This window comes from Homo sapiens, chromosome 1 (genome assembly GCF_000001405.40).
Source record: "Homo sapiens chromosome 1, GRCh38.p14 Primary Assembly".
NCBI classification, from domain to species: domain Eukaryota; kingdom Metazoa; phylum Chordata; class Mammalia; order Primates; family Hominidae; genus Homo; species Homo sapiens.
This window is the reverse complement of record NC_000001.11, coordinates 46,584,433-46,607,065: the sequence shown is the minus strand read 5'-3', so window position 1 is coordinate 46,607,065 and position 22,633 is coordinate 46,584,433. Positions and strand designations below refer to the sequence as shown.

Here is a 22,633-nt window from a genome sequence, read left to right as displayed (position 1 = left end):
CCCCTTACTCTGGGTGGTTTTTTTTTGAGGTAGTAGATAAAAGGACAGAGTGGAAATACAATCCCAACACTAATTACAGGACAGGAGGCCATCCTGAAGAGGAAGATACTTGTTGCTGGCTGGAGCTACGGTGGGGGTGGCAGGACATGGGCCTGACTCCTGAGCTTACTCCCCAGTAGACATCTGCATCTATTGGCTCAGGTCTTGCTGTCATTCCACTGCCCCAACTCACAAGCTGCCTGGGCAGGAATTAAAAAGCAGCTTGGTTCTTAAGAGTCAACAAAGGCCCATCTAGAGCTCTTCCCTCTTCCTGCAAAGGAGCCAGCCTGGCTTTGTGCAGAGGCTCTCCTGGGAGGCAAAGGCATAGGTTGTAGCCCCAGCCCAGCTCCTGAAGTTCCATTGCAAGCCCATTCCCCCTCTAGACCCCAACCCTTCATCTATTTTGTTATCAGTGATGGGAGTGAAGGACTGATTGATCTCAGCTCCTTCATTATATAGTCTATGAATCATTCACAGTCATCATAACAGCTAATGTTCATTATGTGTCAGGTACACTTCTAAGTGCTTGACATATAATAGCTTGTTGAATCAAGTGTGTCTTTGGCCAGCTGCCTTGCTTCCCTTCCAGCCCCCAATATCCCTGCCTTTAGTCACTCCTCTAGAATCTGGAAGGCCCTCCATTCTGCTGCCTCTTCCTCTGGCTCACCACAGGAGGCCCAATCCCAGCATTCTAAAAGGGTGCTATTTGCACACCTCCTATAACAGATCGCTCACTACCTCCTCTGTCATTGGACAGCTCAGACTGTTACAAGTCCCATGCTTTGGGTTCATGGTCATTTTGAAATATGACCATGGCAGTGAGAGTAGATTTATCTTAGAACTGTGTGACCCAAGACCTGCACCTTACATGAGAATATCTGTAAATACATTAGGAAGCTGACACAAAATTGCTTTGAGAGATTCACAGAGGGATGCTTAAAGAAGAATAGACAGAAAGGAAGAGAAGGGGAAAAGAAAGAGATAGGGCCTCAATGATGCAGATAAAAGAGCACACTCCCATGGGGCAAAACCTAGTAACAAAGGGTCCTGGGAGGTAGAGTGGCAGCTTGGTTGAGAAGTCAGGCTGGGCTTTATTTTCCTGTTGGCTCAAGGTCCATAACAAAGCTGGGCATAGTGGCTCTTCCCTGTAATCCCAGCACTTTGGGAGGCCAAGGTGGGAGGATCATTGAGCTCAGGAGTTCGAGACCAGCCTGGGCAACATGGCAAAACCCTGCCTCTAAAAAAATTCAAAAATTAGCCAGTCATGGTAGTGCATGCCTGTAATCCCAGCTACTCAGGAGGCTGAAGCAGGAGGATCACTTGAGCCCAAGCAGAGGTTGCAGTGAGCAAAGCTGGTGCCACTGCACTCCAGCCTGGGGAACACAGTGAGACCTTGTCTCAGAAAAAAAAAAAGAAAAAAAATTCCAAAACAATATTTGGAGCAGGGACCTAGGTAGTAAGCCATCCTCTCCAGCCTGGGGCAGAGCATCCACCTATTGAGTAAAGGATGCCGCATCACCCTCGGCTCCCATAAACACTGCAGCCTCTGAGGTTTCCTGTTGCCTCTCCTCCCTACCCCACAGCAAGCTGTGGAATATGTGGTGAAATAAGCCACAGTCATGACTAGAGCTCCACCTGCTTTGGGGGAGCCCTCCTTCCTCTGAGCACCCCCAGAGCCCTCAAAGATGTTAACTGAATTTGATTGCCATGTGAGGGACATAGCAACTTTGAGAACCTGGAACATAGGTCCTGAATCTCTTGGGCTATTGCCACAGGCAACAGGGAAGGGAACAGGCCAGCAGGGCCTCTGAAGACTTGAAGCTTGGATCGGCCTCCACGGAAGGTAATGAGTGGGAGAAGTCAGGATACATCGGGGCCCTCAGGTTGGACCGCAGGATTCCAGAAGGGAATGAACACAGAAGCTTGATCTTCCGCCTCTCCGGCCTTCACCCAGATTGGGAAATCTAGCAAAGTCCTGAATGTTCACTAATATTCCCAATCTCCTTCCATCATACAGATGAAAAGACAGCCCCGACAAGACAGGGAACAAATGTTTGTCAGGTGGATGATGGGAAGCAAGTCCCTGGGGCTCTTTAACTAGCTTGGCTTACCAAATCCTCACGATAATCCTGAGACAGGCAGGGAAGGGATGTTCACCTCCATCACTCGGAGTCAGCGCCTGAATTAAATCCCAGTCCACACTCTCATCCTTTCTCATCGCAGCTGCAGACTTGGGAAGGGGATGTGGGGAGACTGGTTGAGGCATTAACCTATTTACAGTTGTTTTTCCCCAAGAAATGAACTTTTAAAAGTTTTAAAAATTTTGAAATACTGGGGATAATGTTGTACTCAAGGAGAAACTCTTATGGTGAAATTCTAGGCACTCAGACTTTTAAAGAAATTGTACAGAATTGGCCCCCGTTTTAGAAAAGACTAGCAGCATTTCCCCACATATAAAAGGCATTTTAAAATTCCTTCCTGGCCTGCAGAAGCTCTCAGTACATGTTAATTACACCTGTCGCGCCCGGCCTCCTACCTTCCCGGGCTTCTCCACCCTCCATTCGGAAAAGAAAGCGCCGGAGGAGCTAAGCCCCACCCGCTTGCCAGCAATCTCCCCTCTCCCCGCCTCTTCCCTGTCACGCCTGCGCAGTTCGCTCAGCTCGAGCCCCCTGCCCTCAGGCGGCCCTGGGTAGCCATCAGGGCGCAGGCGCAGCTCCGCCCCCTCACCCTCCTCTCTGATCGGGCCCACCCCCTGGATCTAGCACCGCCTCTTCCGCGTTCTCGGAGGAGCGATCTGCAGGTAGGGGTGCGCGCGACCGCTCCCCGGCGGGAGCCAGCGAAGGTAAAAGCGAGACCTGCGAGGTATTCCTCCGAGCTAAATGGGGCCGGGGTCTGTGAGTGAGCTCGTGTGCCCGGAAGGGGGCAGTCAGGGCCTTCACGGCTGCCCGAGGTCACGACGCGATTCAGCTGCGGAGGGACAGCCTAAGGGGACGCTTTTCAGGACTGTCCCGAGCTGTCTGCGACCTCTGTGCCTGGGGTCGGGGCGTGGCCGGTGTCCGAGATGGCGCTTACTCTGTGGCCCGTTTGAGACTCAGTCTCTCCCAGGGATCAGGACCGAGGCTATGGCTGGGCGCAGGGCTCAGGCAGTCCAGTATCATGAATAGTTTTTCACGTGAGGAATTTGTGAAATCTGTGTACTGCGTTATTTTTAAGTTAATTGTTTTCATTTATTTTCAGTATTTAAAGGCTCCTGCCTGTGTGGATGGCTGTCCACAGGGAAAGGTAATAAGAGTGTCAGGTGCACCCTGTCTTCTAGAGAGCTCCAAGCTCCCTGACAGTGGCAGATCAGAGGCAGGCAGGCTCACAGGAATGAAGTGTTGTTAGAAGTGCTCAACTTCAGGGTCAGGGAGTCCTGGGTTTAGATCTCATCTCTTCCACCTCTTAGCTGTGTGTCCTGGGGCAAGTCTGCTTCCCCTCCCAGAGCTTCACTTTCTTCCCTAGGAAATGGCCATAATAGGGTCATTGTGAAGGGTGAATAGGATTATATGGAAGTCACCTAGTATGGCGCCTGTCATGTAATGGGTGCTGAATACATGGTAGCTGTGATTTCTAGGAGCTTGGTCATTTTGGATTGGGGTACTTTAGAAAGGCTCTGAGAGAAGAGTTGTTGTGACCTGGGCCTTGAAGCCTCAGTGGGATTTACAGATGGAACTGACCCTGCAGAATGGGAAGGGCACCACTGCCCATGCGCCAGGCACATGCTGGACAGTAGGTGTAATGTCTCACTGGATCACCACCCATCAGCCAGGTGCTTTCAGCCCACTCTCCTTAGCTTCAGCCCTTCATTAGAGGGCTGGGCTGGAAGTGATGTGAAGAGGAAATCCAGGGTTGGGTTTTATATGGAACTGAGCCAGCTAGAGGCTTTGGTGCCCCCTCTGCCCATCTGCTCCCACCTCAACACTTCTCTCTCTGTAATCCAGAGAGTTGGTTAGGAGTCCTGTTACTCTGGTATTTTGCAGATGTTGACAGTTGTGGGGGATGGCAACTCAGATTGCATGAAGCGAAGCCATGGGAGAGGGAAGCTCTGTGAACAGGAGCTGTCAGAGCCCAGCACGTGCTTAGAAAGTGCATGTGGTCTCCTGTAATGTGGTCCCAGAGTAATTGAATTACTTAGTTCCTTTTGCATCCTCTTCATGGGTGCCCTTGTGCTCTTCCTGAGACACTACTCGGAAACCTTGGTGGGCATCATTGCCTACTATATAGAGCAGTGGTGTCCAATCTTTTGGCTTCCCTGGGCCACATTGGAAGAAGAAGAACCATCTTGGGCCACACATAAAATACACTAACATTAACAATAGCTGATGAGCTTTAAAAAAATTGCAAAAAAATCTCAGTGTTTTAAGAACGTTTATGAATTTGTGTTGGACCACATTCAGAGCCATCCAGGGCCGCGGGTTGGACAAGCTGGATGTAGAGTTTGGACTCCAGCCTCAGACAAGTTCCTGCACAATTTGTTCCCACACCTCTCCCCTCCCTGTTTCCCTTGGTTTTCCCAAACCTGCAACCTGTGCTTCAGTCAAAATAAACTAGTTGTCTCTGTTTCTCCTTTTTTTTTGAGATGGAGTCTCACTTTGTCACCCAGGCTGGAGTGCAGTGGCACAATCTCGGCTCACTGCAACCTCCACTTCCCAGGTTCAAGTGATTCTCCTGCCTCAGCCTCCTGAGTAGCTGGAATTACAGGCATGAGCCACCACACCCGGCTAATTTTTGTATTTTTAGTAGAGACGGGGTTTCGCCATGTTGGCCAGGCTGGATTCAAACTTCTGACCTCAGGTGATCCGCCTGCCTGGGCCTCCCAAAGTGCTGGTACTACAGATGTGAGCCAACGTGCCCGGCCAAATCTCTGTTTCTCAAACACTCCCTGCATGTTCCTGCTCGAGCCTTTGCTTATATTCTCTCTTCCTGGATTTCCCTCCTCCTCCTCATCTTTCAAGGCTTACATCTCTTACATCTCATGTGGCCTCCATGGTGAAGCTTTTCTGAGCCTTCTGCTGGATTAGTTGTTCCCCTTTCCATCTTCTGTAGCAAAGGCTGACCCTCTAATATAGCTCTCATCATAGTCTGCCTAGGGATATGTACACTCCATATGTACTCTGAGTACGTGGGTGGCAAGGGACCATGTCTCTTTCCTTCCTCCTCTGTCCAGCATAGGGCCAGCACATAGTAGGCCTCTTCAGTGTTTGTGGTTAAGTGAGTCAGTGACATTTTTTATTTACTAGGTTTGGCCCTTGTTTTATGAGCTGTCAGGTTCAGAATGGGACTTTGTGTTTTTCCTCCTCTTTGTGCCTAAGGAGGGCCCCAGTTTAGACTGATGCCCTAATTACAGGCATCAAAAACAAGAAAGTACAAGAATTCTGCACAAGCAGGCATTCTTCATTGCAGCCATTGTTTTCAGGCTCTTGTCTTGCCTTGACCGTGAGTTTTGTTGGAAGGTAGGTAATGCTGTGTTCAGAGACCTGCACTGGGTGTATTAATAGTACAGTTCAAACAGGGGAAAGCTCACAGGTGGTTTTCTAATCAGTTTACTCTGCCCTTGGCCTTGGGAAACAGTGGTTCCTCCCATCTGGGGACCAGCAGCTATAAATGCACATTTTCCCTTGCCAACAGCCTCAGCATGTGGAAGAGAAAGTTATTTCTTGATCAGAGAAAAATTTACATGGTTGAAGGTAGAAGGAGCTTGGAAACCAACCATCTGGTTCCGCCACTTTCATTTTATAGATGGGGAAAGGACTTGATTGAGATTACACAAGGAGGCCGGTGTGTGGCTCACGCCTGTAATCCCAGCACTTTGGGAGGCCGAGGCAGGTGGATCACCTGAGGTCAGAAGTTCGAGACCAGCCTGACCAACATGGTGAAACCCCATCTCTACTAAAAATACAAAAATTAGCTGTGCATGGTGGTGGGTGCCTGTAATCCCAACTATTTGGGAGGCTGAGGCAGGAGAATCGCTTGAACCCAGAAGGCAGAGGTTGCAGTGAGCTGAAATTGTGCCATTGCACTCCAGCCTGGGCGACAGAGTGAGACTCTGTCTCAAAAAAAAAAAAAGATTACACAAGGAATCAGTCAGTAGTGGAGATAGTTCTAGAAGTGAAATGTCATGACTCTGTTTTTTCAGTCTACTACGTTGTTAATACAACATCGAACATTTATTGCACACTTGCTGTGTTCCAGACACTGTTTTTAAAAGTGTTTTTAACTCTGTGTTATAGCTTGGAAACTAAGGCAGATCATTCAGATCTATTTTCCAATTCCACAACTCTGGGTTTTAGTGTGGTTTTAATGGCAGTCACCTCCTACCCAGTGGGGTGGAACAGTTCTCCAAAGAGCTTGCTCCCAGATCTCCGTGAGTGAGAAGTGTTGTCCCAGCAATGTCTCCTTATATGCTGGAGAGAGATCCCAAGAAGAGTCCAGAGTGTATTGGAAGAATGGATGAAGGAATGAAACAAGCCCACATGAGTATTAGCGGATCTTAGTTTAGGAATATTCATGTACTTCAAAAATTGCCTATTTATCAAGTTAGGCAGTAAATGCAGTTTTAGAATGAACTCAGTCTGGGATCTTTCTGTAAAGATTCCCAGTATAGGATGGAAAGATTCAATTCGGTAAGCACATATTGAGCTCTTGCTATGTACAAGACCCTGGTATTGAGAAATATACACAGAGGAAAACAACACATTTCCTGCCCTCCTATAAATAATTGTCTTCTCAGAACCTTCTCCCTCCAGTGTAGTTGGGAAGATAGATAAGTACATAAATAACTGAAATCAGACTGACTATGGTAAATGTAGTAAGGAATGTAAACAAAGTGGGAGTTTGGAAGAAGGAGAAATCAATCCCAGCATGACCAGAGGATTCCTGAAGGTGGAGAATTTATGCTGGGCCTTGGAGGGAGTTTATTCCTGGGAGAAGGAACAGCTTGAGCAACAGTTGAGAGGCAGAAATGCTCAGGTGTAGGGGTGTGTGTGTGTGTGTTGTGGGAGGGGAGAGGAGTTGGTGAGGAGAAGAAGTAAGCCGAATTGGCAGATTTTGGCTAAAATGTAGAGAGTGGAGTAGGGAGCAGAACACTAGCATTTATAAAGTGTCTCCTTTGCTTTGTGGCTTGCAGTATGCTGGTTGCTTTACATACTATATTTAATCCTGTAATATAGGCCTATTTATCTCCAATCTAAAGATGAGGAAACCAGACCTCAGAAAGATTAAAGTGACTTCCCCAAGGTTAGATAGATAGTAAGGGCACAGCTTGGTTCAAAACTAGCAGTGCTGAGTTCAAAGGCCCATGTTATCTTCCTTATGCTAGAGGCTCCAAATGCCCTGACTGGCGCTCGGTTTTCTCTGGCAGCAGGACGGAGGTTAGACTGGAGCAAAGATGGTCCCAGAATGGGGACATCAGTGAAGAGGCTTAAACGGTGAATCACTGGCCTAGTTTGGAAGCTGCATGGACTAGGTCTGCTTGATAGGTTTAATAGGTGATCATTTTGGCAGCACCCACAGTGCCATAAATCAGTGCATTGCCATCCTTAGCTAGTAGAATCTTAGAACCAGTTTACAGAAGCTGCAGGACCCTGGTATTTCAGGCATGGGTTCTGATGGGAGATTGACGTTACAAAAGGGTCTGTCGGGGGAGGCAGCCTGTTTGGCACATCCTGTCTCTTCATTTTCTCACCCTCAAATTCAACAAGAGTCTGTAAGTAGGACAGAGCACTAACTTGGAGTGCAGAGGCTGGCATTCAAGTCCTGCACCTGCTCATTATCATCTGAGAGTCCTCAGTCTGTTTCTTTCCTTTGTATTTGCTGTCAGATTATTCCCTCCTGCAGCCAGTTATGGTTCACAGAGTCGTTGGGTTGCTTTCCAGAGCCACAGCTGATCTGGGGAAGCCATATCAGAAGCGGGAATAACAGTTACTAGTTATTGGGTGCCTACTGTATGCCAGGCACTGATGCCATGAGCTCCATATACATTAGCTCACTTAATTCTCATGACAACTCTGTGATGTGGGTGTAATTGCCCCCATTTTATAGATGCTGATAATCAGAGGAGTATTTTGGTTCACTTCTGAGGCCTCAACTCTTGCTAATGTCCTGGCTTGGGACTGTATGAGGAAGAACTGAGAATATAAACAGGATTCAGAGAGACTAGAGTTTATATTCCAGCCTCTCATCCTTACAGAGAGACAGTAGTTAGGTATGTGGACTCTAGAGTCAGGCTATCTGGGTTTGAGTCCTGGCTCTGTCACTTGCTACCTGTGTGACTTGGGCAAGTTATTTAATCTTCCTGAGTTTCTGTTCCTTCATCTGTAAAATGAGAATACAAATATTACTTACCTCATGGGGTTGTTATGAGAATTGAGATACAACAGCACAGTGCCTGGCACACAGTAGGTGCTCAATGAATGTGAGCTTTAATAGTAATAATATTAATAAATATATGAATGCCCAGTTTGGTACTGTTTTTATAGAAAGTATATTTATTAGGGCCATTTTCCCTTCCCCCGCATTGTTACCTTCTCTTTCTTTCCATTGCCCTGTCAGGAACCTTTGAGATACTAGATTGTTCCAGCACATGGTTGCAATGCATAACATGGCAGAAAGTGCCTGTAGGAAATGGGTCAATAAAAATCAGTGGCTCGTTAGAAAATCTTACCTGACTTGTGTTTTCACCTCTCTCCACAGTAAACAGGAACAGAGCAGCACATATATTACTTTTTTCACAGCCTTCAACAAGAGTGCCAAGCAAGACTCCTCCAATTCACTTGCCAAAAGTACAATAACAGTATCTCTGGAAAAGTGGTGCCTAATTTGGTTCTTCTTTCTGTCCAGCTTAAACCCTTCAGGCCTTAACTTAAGCCATTTCTTCTTGTTCCATTTTCCATGAATATGGAAAAGTTTCTTCTGATTTTAAAGGGAGGATGAGATCAAGATTTTCTCATGAGAACCTTTTCTGTACTTAAAGCCAGAATCCAGTTAAACCTCATCTTCTCTTCTCCCGGCTAAACAGCCTTGGTCTCTTTAACCTCACTCTTAAAACCTGTTTTCCATTGCTTGGATCACATTGGTCATGCCTCTTTTCTTTCTCTTCGGTTTTTCTGCTTTGTGGCAGTGACCCAGACTGTACTCGGTCTTCTAATAAGAGTCCAGCTAAAACAGCTTAAGGGAAGAATAACTTCAGCTGTTTCCATCCATTCATTAACAATTATGAAGTGGTTGCCCCATACCAGAGCCTCTGCTAGGTGTAGGGGTCCCAGAGATGAAGGAGACATAGTCTCTACCCTGTCCCTGGCTAACAGTCTAGGGGAAGATGCGTAATAAAATGTTACAGGTAATTTAATTATGCACAAGTGTAGGAAGCTGGGAATTGGTTAGAGCAATCAGGTGGAAATACAGTCCCTTTTGACGAGACTGCAGGTTAAGACTCCCATAGAGGGTTGGTCTGGGACAAGTTGATGGAGGCCGTGAGTGACAGCACAGAAGCTTGGTTACTCCAGAGGCAGTGGACACCCATTAGAAGTTTTAGAGCAAGGAAGTAACAGGTCGAGATCTGGCTTTTTGGACCAAGGGTAGAGATGCCATAAACCTTAGCCTTACCTGTGCCTCACTGATGTTTTCTGTCTTGAAAGTAATGTGATGGATCTTTTGTTTGTATACATGGTGATTTTTTTTTTTTTTTTTGCTCTAAAACGTCTGTAGAAGGTCTAGTTCTTAAGCACTGAAGAAATTTAATTCCCAGTACAGCAAGAAATTCATGAACAATTGAGAGAGAATTGGGTGCCTCGCCAGGCCCAGCCTACTTAAGACCCAGCTGCAGGCCGATGGATCTGTGTAGGTTTGGTCTGGCCATGGTCACCCTTCCCCACCCCAGCCCTATACCAGCAGGAGGTACAGGAATGAGGAGAGGGCTCCAGGGTCCATCTGGGTAGTTGGTAAAGAATGCTAAGAATCTTTAAGAACTGTGAGAGTCAGAAGTAATTTTTGAGGAGGAAAAAGGGACCAGAGGAATTTTAAATGGTGCCAGAAGGAATTAGGGCTAACCAGGCACTTAGAATCCTGTGACATGTATCTGAAAACCTCCACATTCTCTCTCTGCCTTTGTATTTGCTGTCAGTTTATTCCCTCCTGCGGCCAACTGTGGTTCACAGATTGGCTGGGTTGCTTTCCAGAGCTGCAGTTGATCTGGAGAAGCCATGTCAGAAGCTGGAATAAGAGTTACTATTGAGTGCCTACTGTATGCCAGATACTGGTGCCACGAGCTCTATATACATTAGCTCACTTAATTGCCATGACAACTCTGTGATCTAGGTGTTATTGCCCCATTTTATAGATGATGGTAGTAAAGCTCAGAGAGTTTGAATTTTATGTCCAAGGCTACCCGGCTGGTAGATGGTAGGGCCAGAACTGGAACCTAGGACCTAATGCCCAAAAGCCCTGTGCTTTCTACTTCCCCAGCCTAAGGTGGCTCCACGTGGCAAAATAACACAAAGCCCATAAGGAATTCTGAGGGGTTTTTTTTCTACTGTAGGCCAAGGGTTGGCAAAGTATGGCCCACAGGCCATATTTGACTCACTGCCTGTTTTAGTGTGGATGCAAACTAATGTACTTTTTACATTTTTATGTGGTTGGGGAGAAATCAAGAAAAGATCAATATTTTATGACACATGAAAATCTATGAAATTTAAATTTCAGTGTCCAAAAATAAAGTTTTATTGACATATAGCTACAATCATTGATTTACATATTGTCTACTGCTTTCTCTCTACAAATGCAAAATTGAGTCATAACAAAGATCATGTGACACACAAAGCTTAAAATATTTACCATCTGGCACTTTACAGAAAAAAAATTGCCAACTCCTACCATAGGTAACAAGAAGGGACCAGGTGGGGGTCTAAACCTATGACAAGACTAAAGACAGAATGGAAGCTCAAGGCCAGGCGTGGTGGCTCACGCCCATAATCCCAGCACTTTGGGAGGCTGAGACAGGCAAATCACGTGAGCTCAGGAGCTCAATACCAGCCTGGGCAACATGGTGAGACCCTGTGTCTACAAAAAATACAAAAATTAGGCGTGGTGGCTCGTGCCTGTAGTTTCAGCTACTTGGGAGGCTGAGGTGGGAGGATCACTTGAGCCTGGCAGGTGGAGGCTGCAGTGAGCCAAGATCATGCCACTGCACTCCAGCCTGGCTAATGGAGCCAGATCCTGTCGTTGGATGGTGTTCAAGGCTGTCCCTGGAAGTGTGGTAGTAGAAGTGAAGAAAGAGAGCATACCCTGAGTTTCCTTAGGCCCTGGAAACAGTTTTACTGGGTTTCAGATTTGTTTGGGAATAAAGAGCATAGTAGGAAGGACTGTCCAATGTGCTAACATCTTTATTGGATGTTAAAGAGATATTTCGTGTATTAAGTAATTCATTCAGATTCACTAGAGCCCATTTTTGCCAGATACTATGTTAGATGCTGGTAATGCAAAGATGAAAAAGGTAAGTGCTTGCCTTTGAGGAATAACTGGCAGGATGACGTGATCTGATAGGGAAGAAGAGAAGTCAGAGGAAGGAGGCAGTGGGTGGGGGTTGGGCACAAGTCCCACTTGGGGCATGTGGTTTGAGGTCATGGTGAAACACACCCAACTTCCAGTTAGAAAGCCTTTTTAGAAATTTTGGCTCAGAATTCAGAGTTAAACTGCATTTTCAGGGCTTTTCCACCGAGAAAAGGGGAAATGCATATTTATTTCATAGGGAAGTTGACAAAGCAACTTTGACTTGTATAGCTAGAGCCATGGTATTAAAATAACAGTGAACATAGAGAAAATGAAGTCATCAGATTGAAAACTAGCAATAATTATGTATTCGACACAAAACCTTGTTCCCATTCATGCCACCTCCTGCTCTCAGCATCTACTTTATCTTTCGGGCTCTGTTTCCTCTTGCCTGTGAGACTTGGACTTGGCCACTAAGAGAGAGAGCCCAGCTCATTTCTCTAAAAACGTGGATAGCAGAGGAGTGCCTCGCTCTGTCACCCAGGTTGGAGTGCAGTGGCATGATCTTGGGTCATTGCAGCCTCGACCTCCTGGGCTCAAGCAATCCTCCCACCTCAGCCTCCCAAGCAGCTACAGGTGTGTGCCACCATGCCTGGCTAATTTTAGTATTTTTGTAGGGATGGGTTTCACCATGTTGCCCAGGCTGGTCTTGAACTTCTGAGCTCAGTCAATCCACCTGCCTCAGCCTCCCAAAGTGCTGAGATTACAGGCATGAGCCACCACACCTGGCCTGTCAACTTTTATCTTTTGCCTGAGACTCCTCAGAGCAGAGGTGTCTTATCTCTATCATCCAGGTCCAGTTACATCTTTTTGGGTCTGGAATCCCATAATGGAAACAGAATCTGAAAAATTTCACTCAGACCTTTGTTAAATCTTCCAGTGCTTAATGGCAGTGGGGATAGAGAGGAATTAGAAGCCACCCCTTCCCAAATAATCATTGCTAATAATTTGGCCAGCCTGGGCAACATAACAAGACTCTATCTCTACAAAAAATTTAATTCAAATGTCTGATTTTAAAGATGGGAAACCTGTGATTGCTGCGTGTATATCTACTTAGTGGGGTAACTCATAGGTTTGGGGCACGTTCAGATTGATCTTTCTCTTTTCTGGTCCTTTTAAAGAAGTCAGCATTTTGATTTCCTTTCTATTTCTGCTTTTTCAAGGTTTCCATGTCAGAGGCCGATGGAGAACTGAAGATTGCCACCTACGCACAAAGGCCATTGAGACACTTCGTGTAGCTGGAAGACACCAACTTCCTGACAGGAGCTTTATTTCATTTGGGATTTCAAGTTTACAGATGGTATCTTCTCAAAAGTTGGAAAAACCTATAGGTAAGATTGGGTGTACATTTTAGTTATCCTTTTAGATTACTTCAAATTGAAATGATCTGATACATCCAGAGGAAAGGGCGGGTAAGAGACCGTGGTTTTCAGCACTTAGTTAGTTAGCTAGGAATAGCGGAGCTGCCCTGGTACGACTCAGATAACGCTTAGTAGGAGGAACACATTTCTACAGAATGACATGGAAGGGTCATAAGGAAAACATGTAACTAAAACATATTTATTTACTTTTTTTTTTTTTTTTTTTTCAGATAGAGTCTCCCTCTGTCGCCCAGGCTGGAGTGCAGTGGTGCAATCTCCGCTCACGGCAACCTCTGCCTCCCAGGTTCAAGCGATTCTCCTGCCTCAGCTTCCTGAGTAGCTGGGATTACAGGCGTGCACCACCACACCCAGCTAATTTTTGTTTTTAGTAGAGACGGGTTTCATCATGTTAGCCAGGCTGGCCTCAAACTCCTGACCTCAAGTGATCTGCCTGCCTTGGCCTCTCAAAGTGCTGGGATTACAGGCATGAGCCACTGCGCCTGGCCAGATCTATTTAATTATGAAATTAAAACAACTACTTCATAACAAAACAAGATAAAATACAGCAGAAGTATATGAAGCCCCTCTTTGCCTGGCTCCATACTAGGCAGCGGGGATAGAGAGGAATTAGACACTGTCCCTCCCCAAATAACCATTGCTAATAATTTGGCCAGCCTGGGCAACATAGCAAGACTGTCTCTACAAAGAATTTAAAAACTGGCCAAGCATGGTGGTACACGCCTGTAGTGCCAGCTACTTGGGAGGCTGAGGCAAGAGGATTGCTTGAACCCGGGAGGCGGAGGCTGCAGTGAGCCGAGATTGTGCCACTGCACTCCAGCCTGGATGACAGAGCGAGACCGTAGCTCAAAACATAATAATAATTTGAGATGTGTCTTTTCAGGTTTTTTTTAACGTATATATGATATATATGATGACATTTTGAAGTGTTCTGTGTTACACTGTCACCAGAGGTTTTGTCATGCCTGGGAGATTATGAATAATGCCTCATTTGCAGATTTGGGTCAGATGAGGGCTGAGTGAGAGTGGTTTTAGCCTGATCGGTGAGTTTTCATAGTCCCTGGTGGCTGTGTGTCACCCTTCTTCATCTGAAGGTCCCCGGTGGTGCCATTGTCTTTCCCTGCTCCCCGTCCCCAGCCAGCTCCACTTCCTGAATTTTCCCCCTGTTTGATGGTCCTACTGTTGTTATGGTGACCTGACTTTGGTTAATAAACATGTAATCATAAGTATATGAGGCCCTCCTCTTCCTGGCTGCATGCTAGGCAGTGGGGATACAGAGGAATTAAACACTGTCCCTTCCTTCAAGGAGGGCTGTGGTCTTTGCCCCCACCTTCTTCAGTCATTTGGTAGGACTAGAACCAGTTCTGCCTCGATGACTTCATTCCCTCACTCTGTTACACACCTCACCTCCTCTTCCTTGCTCTCCCTGCTCTCCCTGTCTCTGTTGTAGGCCTTTCTCACCCTGCCCCGGGCTGTTCCAGCAGCCTCTTTCAGCCCTCTTGCTCTAGCCTCCAGTTTGTTCTTCACATCACAGTCAGTTCCGTGGCCCCCAGGCACAGCTCCAGTCACACCCAGTCCCTCCCCATCACCTAGGCCAGTGGTTCGCAGCATACACTGCAGACCATGGGGGTCCCCAAAACTCCTTTAGGAATCTGCACAGTTAAAATGATTTTTGTAATCGTACTAAGATGCTGTCTGTTGCTGGAAAGCAACAATGAGTAAGACTGTTGGTGCCTTGGTCAAGGTGGTGATGCTGAACTGTGCCAGTAGCCACTATATTCTCCACTGCTATGTACTCCCAGGTTTTTGTTTTTGTTTTTATTTTGAGATAGAGTCTCACTTTGTCACCCAGGCTGGACTACAACAGCATGACCTCGGCTCACTGCAACCTCCGCCTCCCGGGTTCAAGTGATTCTCCTGCTTCAGTCTCCTGAGTAACTGAGATTAGAGACACCTGCCACCACAACCAGCTAATTTTTGTATTTTTAATAGAGACAGAGTTTTGCCATGTTGGCCAGGCTGGGCTCGAACTCCTGAACTCAGGTGGTCTGCCCACCTCAGCCTCGCAAAGTGCTGGGATTACAGGCATGAGCCATCACACCCAGCTTTTTTTTAATGCCATTTTCACACAAGAATGTCTTTGATGAAGTAGCAAAAATTGTCAGTTTTATTGAATTCCAACCCTGAGTACGGATCTCTTTAATATTCTGTGTAACAAAATAGAAATGCTCATAAAGTACTTCTGCGGCAAACCAAAGTATAGCACCTGACTCAAGGAAAAGCAAGGAAAAGCACATGTGGGATCCCTTGAATGGCAAGTGAAACTAGCCACTAGTTTCATTTTTACATGAAACAATGGCTGTGTTGGGTGCTGAGGCTGGAAGGTAGACAGGGGCTTGGGGTTGGAGAGCCTCGTGGGCTGCGTTTGTGCTTGGGGGCCTTGAGCGCAGCCCACCTTTGTCAGCTTTCTACACGCTGCTCCCCACTCCCATCCAGCCCTTTCCTCCTGCTTGCTCTTTCTTCAGCACACACTTCATTCTCCCCTTCCATGTCCTTCCTCTTGTTCCTTCCACCAGGAGATGCAGTGACAGCTCTGAAGGCTGCCTGTGATCCCAGAATCAGAACAGAGGTAGAAGATGGACTGGAGTTGTGACCTTTTGTCTCTAGGACTCTCAGGCCCCCAGTCCTGTCTGAGGCCTGTGGGGGATCCTTTGCTGGCACCCTAGCAGGCCTCACCTGCCAGTTTCATTGCAGCGGAGTGAAATGCTGCCACCTGCATGCTGCAGCCCAGCCTCCCCTCACACCAGACTCTTGGGGAAAGAATACCTTAGCCCCTTGCAGTATCGCTATGGACAGACGGTCCTTTGATTGAGCTGACTTTACAAGTGGCTCCTTTCATCCATCATGTGTTAAATCTGACTAGTGTCTGTTTGAGTGTACCCTTTCCTTGTCCCAGCATAATCATGATGCCACAAAACCAAATCTTCCCACTAATGGGTCAGACAGAAGAACGTAGCCTGTCCCTGACACCAGAACTGCCATGAAATAATGTAGGTGGACTTTGGTTGGTAGCTCATCTTTCATAAGATGACAAAACACAAAATACAAGGCAAGCTCAGAGCAAGAAGAAGAAACTTCTGATAAATGAAGTTTTTGATTAATAGGACGATGATAATGTGGTAATAATGCCTTCATATTTCCAGAAGCTAGGGCAGTGCTGCCCAACCTTTTCACATCATAGCACACGCTGAAAATGATACTGTTCTGCACACCTAAGTAACAGTGAGTGACTGGAGGCCTGATGAGGGGATCAATACCTCATTCACAGCACATCAGCAGGGAAGCTCTGTGCTAAGGTTTATAAACAAAAGCATTCTCATTGGTGCCTGGCTACTTTTACTAGCTACCCCTTCTGCCTTTCAGCATTAAGGTTTAAATACAGTGTAATGGTTAAAAGCTTGAATTCTGAGCCAGACCATCTAGATGTAGATCTCAGCTCTGCCACTTACAAGCTATGCGACCTTGAGCAAATCATTTAATCTCTTTGTACTTCAGTTTCTTCATCTGTAAAATCTGGATACTTAGCTCATAAAGTAGTGATGATTAAATAAGTTAGTATATGTAAAGTGTAGCGTTGGTAAAGTGCTTAGAATGCTGCCTGGCCTACAGTAAGCAGCATGTGTGTGTGTGAGTAATGTCACTACTAGGAGTAGTCATGTGGACTCTAATACTGCTCCGGCTACTACTTCAAAGATGTAAATGTTCTGGGGTCAGTCTCCCCAGGTACCCCCTCATTGCCTCCTCTGTCACATTTCTTAGTCTTGGCCACTTCCTTAAGAGTGCCCATGACACTTCCTTTCAGTCCCTCAGTTCCTGATCATTTTCTCCGTTCTCCATTTGTTTTGGAATGCTCAGCTAGCTGATGCCCGAGAAGGCAGCTGGGTTGGTAATTACACTTCTCTGCTTGCTCTCACCACTATTTCTTCTCAAGAAAGCTCTTGTGGCTGAGGGAAATCGCTCTTAAAGGTTGGGGAGACCTTGAAAAGAATTCTGAAGTGGTTGGGAGAGGAGTGTGAGCTAAGTTTGCAGAGCTGAGCTAGCCAGCAAAGTCGGGTTCTCAGTGGGGAGAGGATCATCTCTGGTTTCATGCACAGATATGAAAGCTGATGAGTTCTCTGCAGGCTCTTCAAAATTTGGAGTACAGATCTGGTTCCTTTGGGGACAATGTGGCTCATAAGACTATGGAGAAGTAACACAGTTCTTCCAGAGGGTGGGCCTCGAGGTCACTTTCTGGAGCAGAATGGTGGATGGATGCTTGCATGTCAGGAATCTCTGTGCTGCAGTAGTCCTTCTAGGGAGCCTCCATAACCCTTCCTCATCTGCTCTATGAGTTCTCTGTAAATCTCCCCTGCAGGAACCAGGATGATTCCTGGATCTGTATCCTTCACACTTACTATACCTTCAGTACCATCAGTGCTCGTTCACTCACAGGTTTTACAAAGAGACGAAACATGCATTCCTATTTTAATGGAGAAAACAAGATAAACGTATGCCTAGGAATGGAGACATTTATTATCATCGATGACGATGAGACTGCTTGTGAGCTAATGTCATCCCTCCTCCCATGTGCTCTGTGCCCCTGCCAGCCTGAGTGATCACCAGTGGCCCCCACCGGCCCTGTGTCCCTCCTCCAGGCCTCAGCCTGTGCCCTTCCTTGGTCTGGGACACTCTCTTCCAGGCCTCAGCCCTGTCCCACTCATCCCTCAGGTATTGAGGCTTAGCTGTGTCTTCCTCTAGTTACCCAACTGGGTTAGCTTCCTCTCTCCTGCTCCACAGCACCTGGTACCTCCCTGTCCCAGCACTTGTCCTACTATGTTGAAATTGTTTTAAGCGTCAGCAGCAGATTTAAACGCCATCAGGGAAGAGACTGTGTCTTCTCTTATACTCTCACTGTCTAGCACCAGACGATCAGTAGGTGCCCAATAAATATAGCATTATTGAAGAGTAAGTCAGTGGTGCTTTCACTTCTAGTCTCTTATTTGATCCTCACAGCAGCCTTGTGGCATGGGCAGCCCAGGCCTTCTGCTTACCTCATTTCATATACAAGGAAACTGATCCTCAGAGAAGCTAAGCAGCTTGCTGCAGTTCGTGCAGTGGAGGAGAGCCATAGCTCTCAGGCTCCAATGTTCAGCACATTTTTTCATTTGTTTTTATAAAATATTTACTTTTAAGAAGTAGCATTTTTTTTTTTTTTTTTGAGACGGAGTCTCGCTCTGTCGCCCAGGCTGGAGTGCAGTGGCGCGATCTCGGCTCACTGCAGGCTCCGCCCCCCGGGGTTTACGCCATTCTCCTGCCTCAGCCTCCCGAATAGCTGGGACTACAGGCGCCCGCCACCTCGCCCGGCTAATTTTTTGTATTTTTAGTAGAGATGGGGTTTCACCGTGTTAGCCAAGATGGTCTCGATCTCCTGACCTCGTGATCCGCCCGCCTCGGCCTCCCAAAGTGCTGGGATTACAGGCGTGAGCCACCACGCCCGGCCAAGAAGTAGCATTTTTTAAAAAATAAAAATAACATTGGTTGTTTTGAATGATTGCGAAATTAGTATCTTCATGGCACCAATATTCCTAAAATGTTTCTTTCATCACTGAATGTTGAATTTTAATACAGAGAAATCTAGAAACATTTTTAAAAACTAAAATCAGATACCAAATTCCAATGTGTATTAGAGAAAGATTATGGTGTACTTTATTTAAAAATAAAACGTGAGTTAAACAATAATAGCAGGAAAAATAAATTTCATTGTGTACAATTTAGAGAATACTGAAAATATAAAAAAGAAAATAAAAATCACCCCATCACATAGAGAAAACTCTTATGGATTAGAAATGGTCTGGACTTGAAAGAGCAGCATTGAGTTTGAATCCCAGTTAAACCACTAACTAGATGTTTGGCATTGGGTAGGTTATTTAATCTACTGGCTGCCTGCTCTGAGCTTCTTTCCTTACCTGAAATATGGCAAAAATATTTACCTTTTGAGATTATGATAAGAATTAGAGATAATATGTACAGAATATCCATGTAGTTGGCACTTTTTAAAATTGTAGCGTATTAGCAGTTTTACGTATTTCTGTCTAGTCTTTCTACTCTGTTGGGTTCATATATGGGCATACATACCTGTGCATATGCATATGTTTTTGGAAACATATTTATGTGAAGTATATCATTGGGTATTTTTTGTTTTTTTTTTGAGACGGAGTTTCACTCTTGTTGCGCAGGCTGGAGTGCAATGGTGCGATCTCAGTTCACCGCAACCTCCGCCTCCGGGGTTCAAGCAATTCTCCTGCCTCAGCCTCCCGAGTAGCTGGGATTACAGGCATGCACCACCATGCCTGGCTAATTTTGTACTTTTAGTAGAGACGAGGTTTCTCCATGTTGGTCAGGCTGGTCTCAAACTCCCAACCTCAGGTGATCTGCCTGCCTCGGCCTCCCAAAGTGCTGGGATTACAGGTGTGAGCCACCACACCTGGCCATCATTGGGTCTTTACAACAACCTGTGAGGTAGACAGGGCGGGTGTGTTTTTAAACCTATTTGATAGATGAGGAAACTGAGACTCTAAGAGGCACAGTAACTTGGCCTTGGTTCTGTTATAATATCTGAACCAGGGCTTCTGCCTTGCTCGCCTGATGCCAAGCCTGTGTGCCTTCCCTGTCAGCAAGCAGCATGCTGCTTCTTCAGTTCCACTTCCACCTCCACTAATAGACACATGTGGTGGACCGCCGAGCCGTTCCCAAGAGGAAGGCAAGGGCTGGAGGCAGCGGAAGTGCTGGGAGCCTCCAGACCAGCTGGGATCTGCCTGAAACTGAAAAGAAGTGCTCACTTCTTCCTCTGTAATAACAGACACATTGCCCAATCCTATAGCAAGAACCAGGCTTCTGTTTAGAAAGTGAAGGACCTGGCTGGGCGCAGTGGTTCACGTCTGTAATCCCAGCACTTTGGGAGGCCAAGGCAGGCGGATCACCTGAGGTCAGGAGTTTGAGACCAGCCTGGCCAACATGGCGAAACCCCGTCTCTACTAAAAAGTACAAAAAATTAGCCGGACATGGTGGCATGTGCCTGTAGTCCCAGCTACTCTGGAGGCTGAGGCAGGAGAATCGCTTGAACCCGGGAGGCAGAGGTTGTACTGAGCTGCACTCCACTGCATTCCAGCTTGGGTGACAGAGCAAGACTCCATCTCAAAAAGAAAAGAAAAGATAAGAAAGTGAAGGACGTTTTGTGTCCTAGACCCTTTTTCGAAAGGGAGTTTATCCAGGAATTAGTAGAATTCCTGAACTGGATTCATAAAACTAAGTAGCCTTACTCTGCATTGTCTACAGGGCAAAGTTGTACCCATGTTTCTTTCAGGATGTGCACTGGGTACCTAAAAGGCCAGTGTGACATACCCCACACCTAACAGTATGCATGTCATTTCATATCATTTCTATTTCAGTGCAATTTCTGATGGCTGCTATGTGTCTGACACTGTGCCATGATCTGTAGGAGAAACAAGTGAACAGGGGACAATCTCAGCCTTTAGGAACACAGGGGAGCACTCAAGGCCAAATAAAATCAGTGCCCTCGTGGAGCTTCTCGCAGGGTGTTTGGGAGCAGAGGATGGAGCACCAACTACTAGTTCTGCTCAGTAACACCCTCCATTTGCATAGCACCTAACTGACTTCCAGAGTCTCTGTAGAAACCTTAACTCATCTGGAGTTATCAGGGAGCTGCAAAAGGGTTGGGACTATCGAGCCGGCTTTTGATGACCAAGAAGAATTCCTAGGCCAAGGGAAGCAGGTGAGCCAAGGTGCAGCTTTACTGCGGGGGTCCCACTCCCTGAGGCAGCATTTATCCCATGAGTGTTTGCATGATGAATTAAGGCCCCACAGACCTGCTAGTGGACTCTGTGATGAAAATAGTGTGTGGCCAGGCTCCACATGGGCAACTAGCGACCCCTTGGTGAGATTATGACACCTCTCGCTTCCCCCTGTGTAACCAGGGAAGCTAAGCATGTTTCTTTCACTTCACCCATCTTCCTACATTTTTTCCTTCCTAGTTTCAGAAACAACTCTCCAAGTTCCATTTCCAAGGAAAGTCTTAACCATTTGTCCCTTCTGGCGTACCCTCTTTCATTGAAATCCATGCAGAATATACCAGGTACTCTGTCTTTGTGTGTGTGTGAAGCCATAAAATCTAATGTTACGTGTGCGGTGGTGCTGTGAGGTATGCTTCTCGTGCAAGCGGCTCCCTCAGCCCTGCTGTGGTAAAGACCAAGTATAAATTGTCGCTAACAGGGTTTTCTCATTAGAGTCGTGTGCCTGAGTGTCCCCTGTGAATTATAATGCCTCCAGCCCTCTTGCTGCTCCTCTGCTCTGCCTGTCTTTTGGCTGTTTTGCTTGTCCTGGGGCCCTCCATCAAAGTGTGGACAGGGGAAGGAGAAAGAGCTGAAACCCAAATCTGTTTCCTCTGCACTGGGCCTGCGGTGCCGATGAGAAAATAGATGCAGACACGGGTTGCCACTGGACTGCATTCAAGGTCAGCGCAAGAGAGAGAGACAATGGTTCCTCCTTCTCAGCCTGCTGCCCCGATGGCCAGCACCCCCTCCCTGAGCTCCTGAAGATGAGTGACCCTGTGTTTTATTTCTGCTGAATTTCTCACCATGTTATACATTTGGGCAGCTTTTTTCCTTTTAATTTACCTTGGTGAGGGTGGGTGTTGAGGTGCTGATTTTTTTTTTTTTTTTTTTTTTTTTTTTTTTTTTTTTTTTTTTTTTTTTTTTTTGAGACGGAATCTTGCTCTGTCACCCAGGCTGGAGTGCAATGGCGTGATCTCGGCTCACTGCAACCTCTGCCTCCCAGGTTCAAGCGATTCTCCTGCCTCAGCCTCCCGAGTAGCTGGCACTACAGGCACCCGCCACCACACCCAGCTAATTTTTGTATTTTTAGTAGAGACAGGTTTCACCATGTTGGCCACGATGGTCTCGAACTTCTGACCTCAAGTGATCTGCCTACCTCGGCATCCCAAAGCGCTGGGATTACAGGCGTGAGCCATGGTGCCTAGCCAGATGTTTAATTCTTTCAATTCATAGGGTGTTGCAGTCCCCAGATATATCTTGTGTTTGAAGCTCTTGGCTAGAGTTATATTTTGAGATGCTCTGTGGATTTCTTTTATCTGTGTGTTTATCTGTTCCCCATTCTAAACTATAATTTAAAATGTGCTGTCATCAGATCCCCAAAATGGATGGAAGAATGCGCCTAAATTGAGCTGTCAGGCACTTGGCTGCGTAACCATGCTTTCTGGATTGTGGTGTTGAAAGTGCCATCCTGTGTGCTCTCTCCGGATGGCTGTCACGTACTTGCGTCTGAGAACAGTGTATGGACCTGCATGAGCACTAATCAGTCTTCCTAGCAGACTTGCTCTTTCTCTGGTCGTATGCCGCCAGATCCTCTGAGAAGAGAGTGGGCCTTTCCCCTCAATGGGCAAAGAACCAGCTTCCATTTTAAAAGCTCTCAGAAAAAAAAGAAAGAAAAAAAAAAAAAAACACCAACAACCAAGAGCCTGTGTTTATTGAAGGTTGGTCTAAAAGTCTCTCACATCG

At 46.5% G+C, this 22,633-nt stretch overlaps 1 protein-coding gene across 30 annotated transcripts in view, besides 3 other annotated features; it reads left to right on the top strand.

Annotated features, from left to right (window-relative positions):
- Positions 2,617 to 2,836: a silencer, noted in NCBI's record as "silent region_848". NCBI's record gives its function as "represses an Ori minimal core promoter by ATAC-STARR-seq in GM12878 lymphoblastoid cells {active_cell/tissue: GM12878}" and the evidence as "EXISTENCE:reporter gene assay evidence [ECO:0000049][PMID:35858748]".
- The window catches only part of MKNK1 (MAPK interacting serine/threonine kinase 1), a 46,862-nt gene continuing 27,026 nt past the window's right edge, over positions 2,798 to 22,633 (top strand). For 5 of the 30 annotated variants that reach the window (NR_165250.1, NR_146512.2, NM_001377343.1 and 2 more), the window contains exons 1-2: positions 2,798 to 2,839; positions 12,786 to 12,953. Coding sequence is in view for 13 of the 30 variants with exons in the window: in XM_047433066.1 (XP_047289022.1) it covers positions 22,468 to 22,608 (141 nt within the window). In the remaining 17 variants the exon portion in view is untranslated. The other 25 variants (NR_024174.3, XM_047433047.1, NM_001377374.1 and 22 more) reach the window with 13 other exon arrangements.
- Positions 2,984 to 3,484: an enhancer, noted in NCBI's record as "H3K27ac hESC enhancer chr1:47069254-47069754 (GRCh37/hg19 assembly coordinates)". NCBI's record gives its function as "activates a minimal SCP1, AML or CMV promoter by ChIP-STARR-seq in primed H9 embryonic stem cells {active_cell/tissue: H9 hESC(primed)}" and the evidence as "EXISTENCE:reporter gene assay evidence [ECO:0000049][PMID:30033119]".
- Positions 3,167 to 3,216: an enhancer, noted in NCBI's record as "active region_1004". NCBI's record gives its function as "activates an Ori minimal core promoter by ATAC-STARR-seq in GM12878 lymphoblastoid cells {active_cell/tissue: GM12878}" and the evidence as "EXISTENCE:reporter gene assay evidence [ECO:0000049][PMID:35858748]".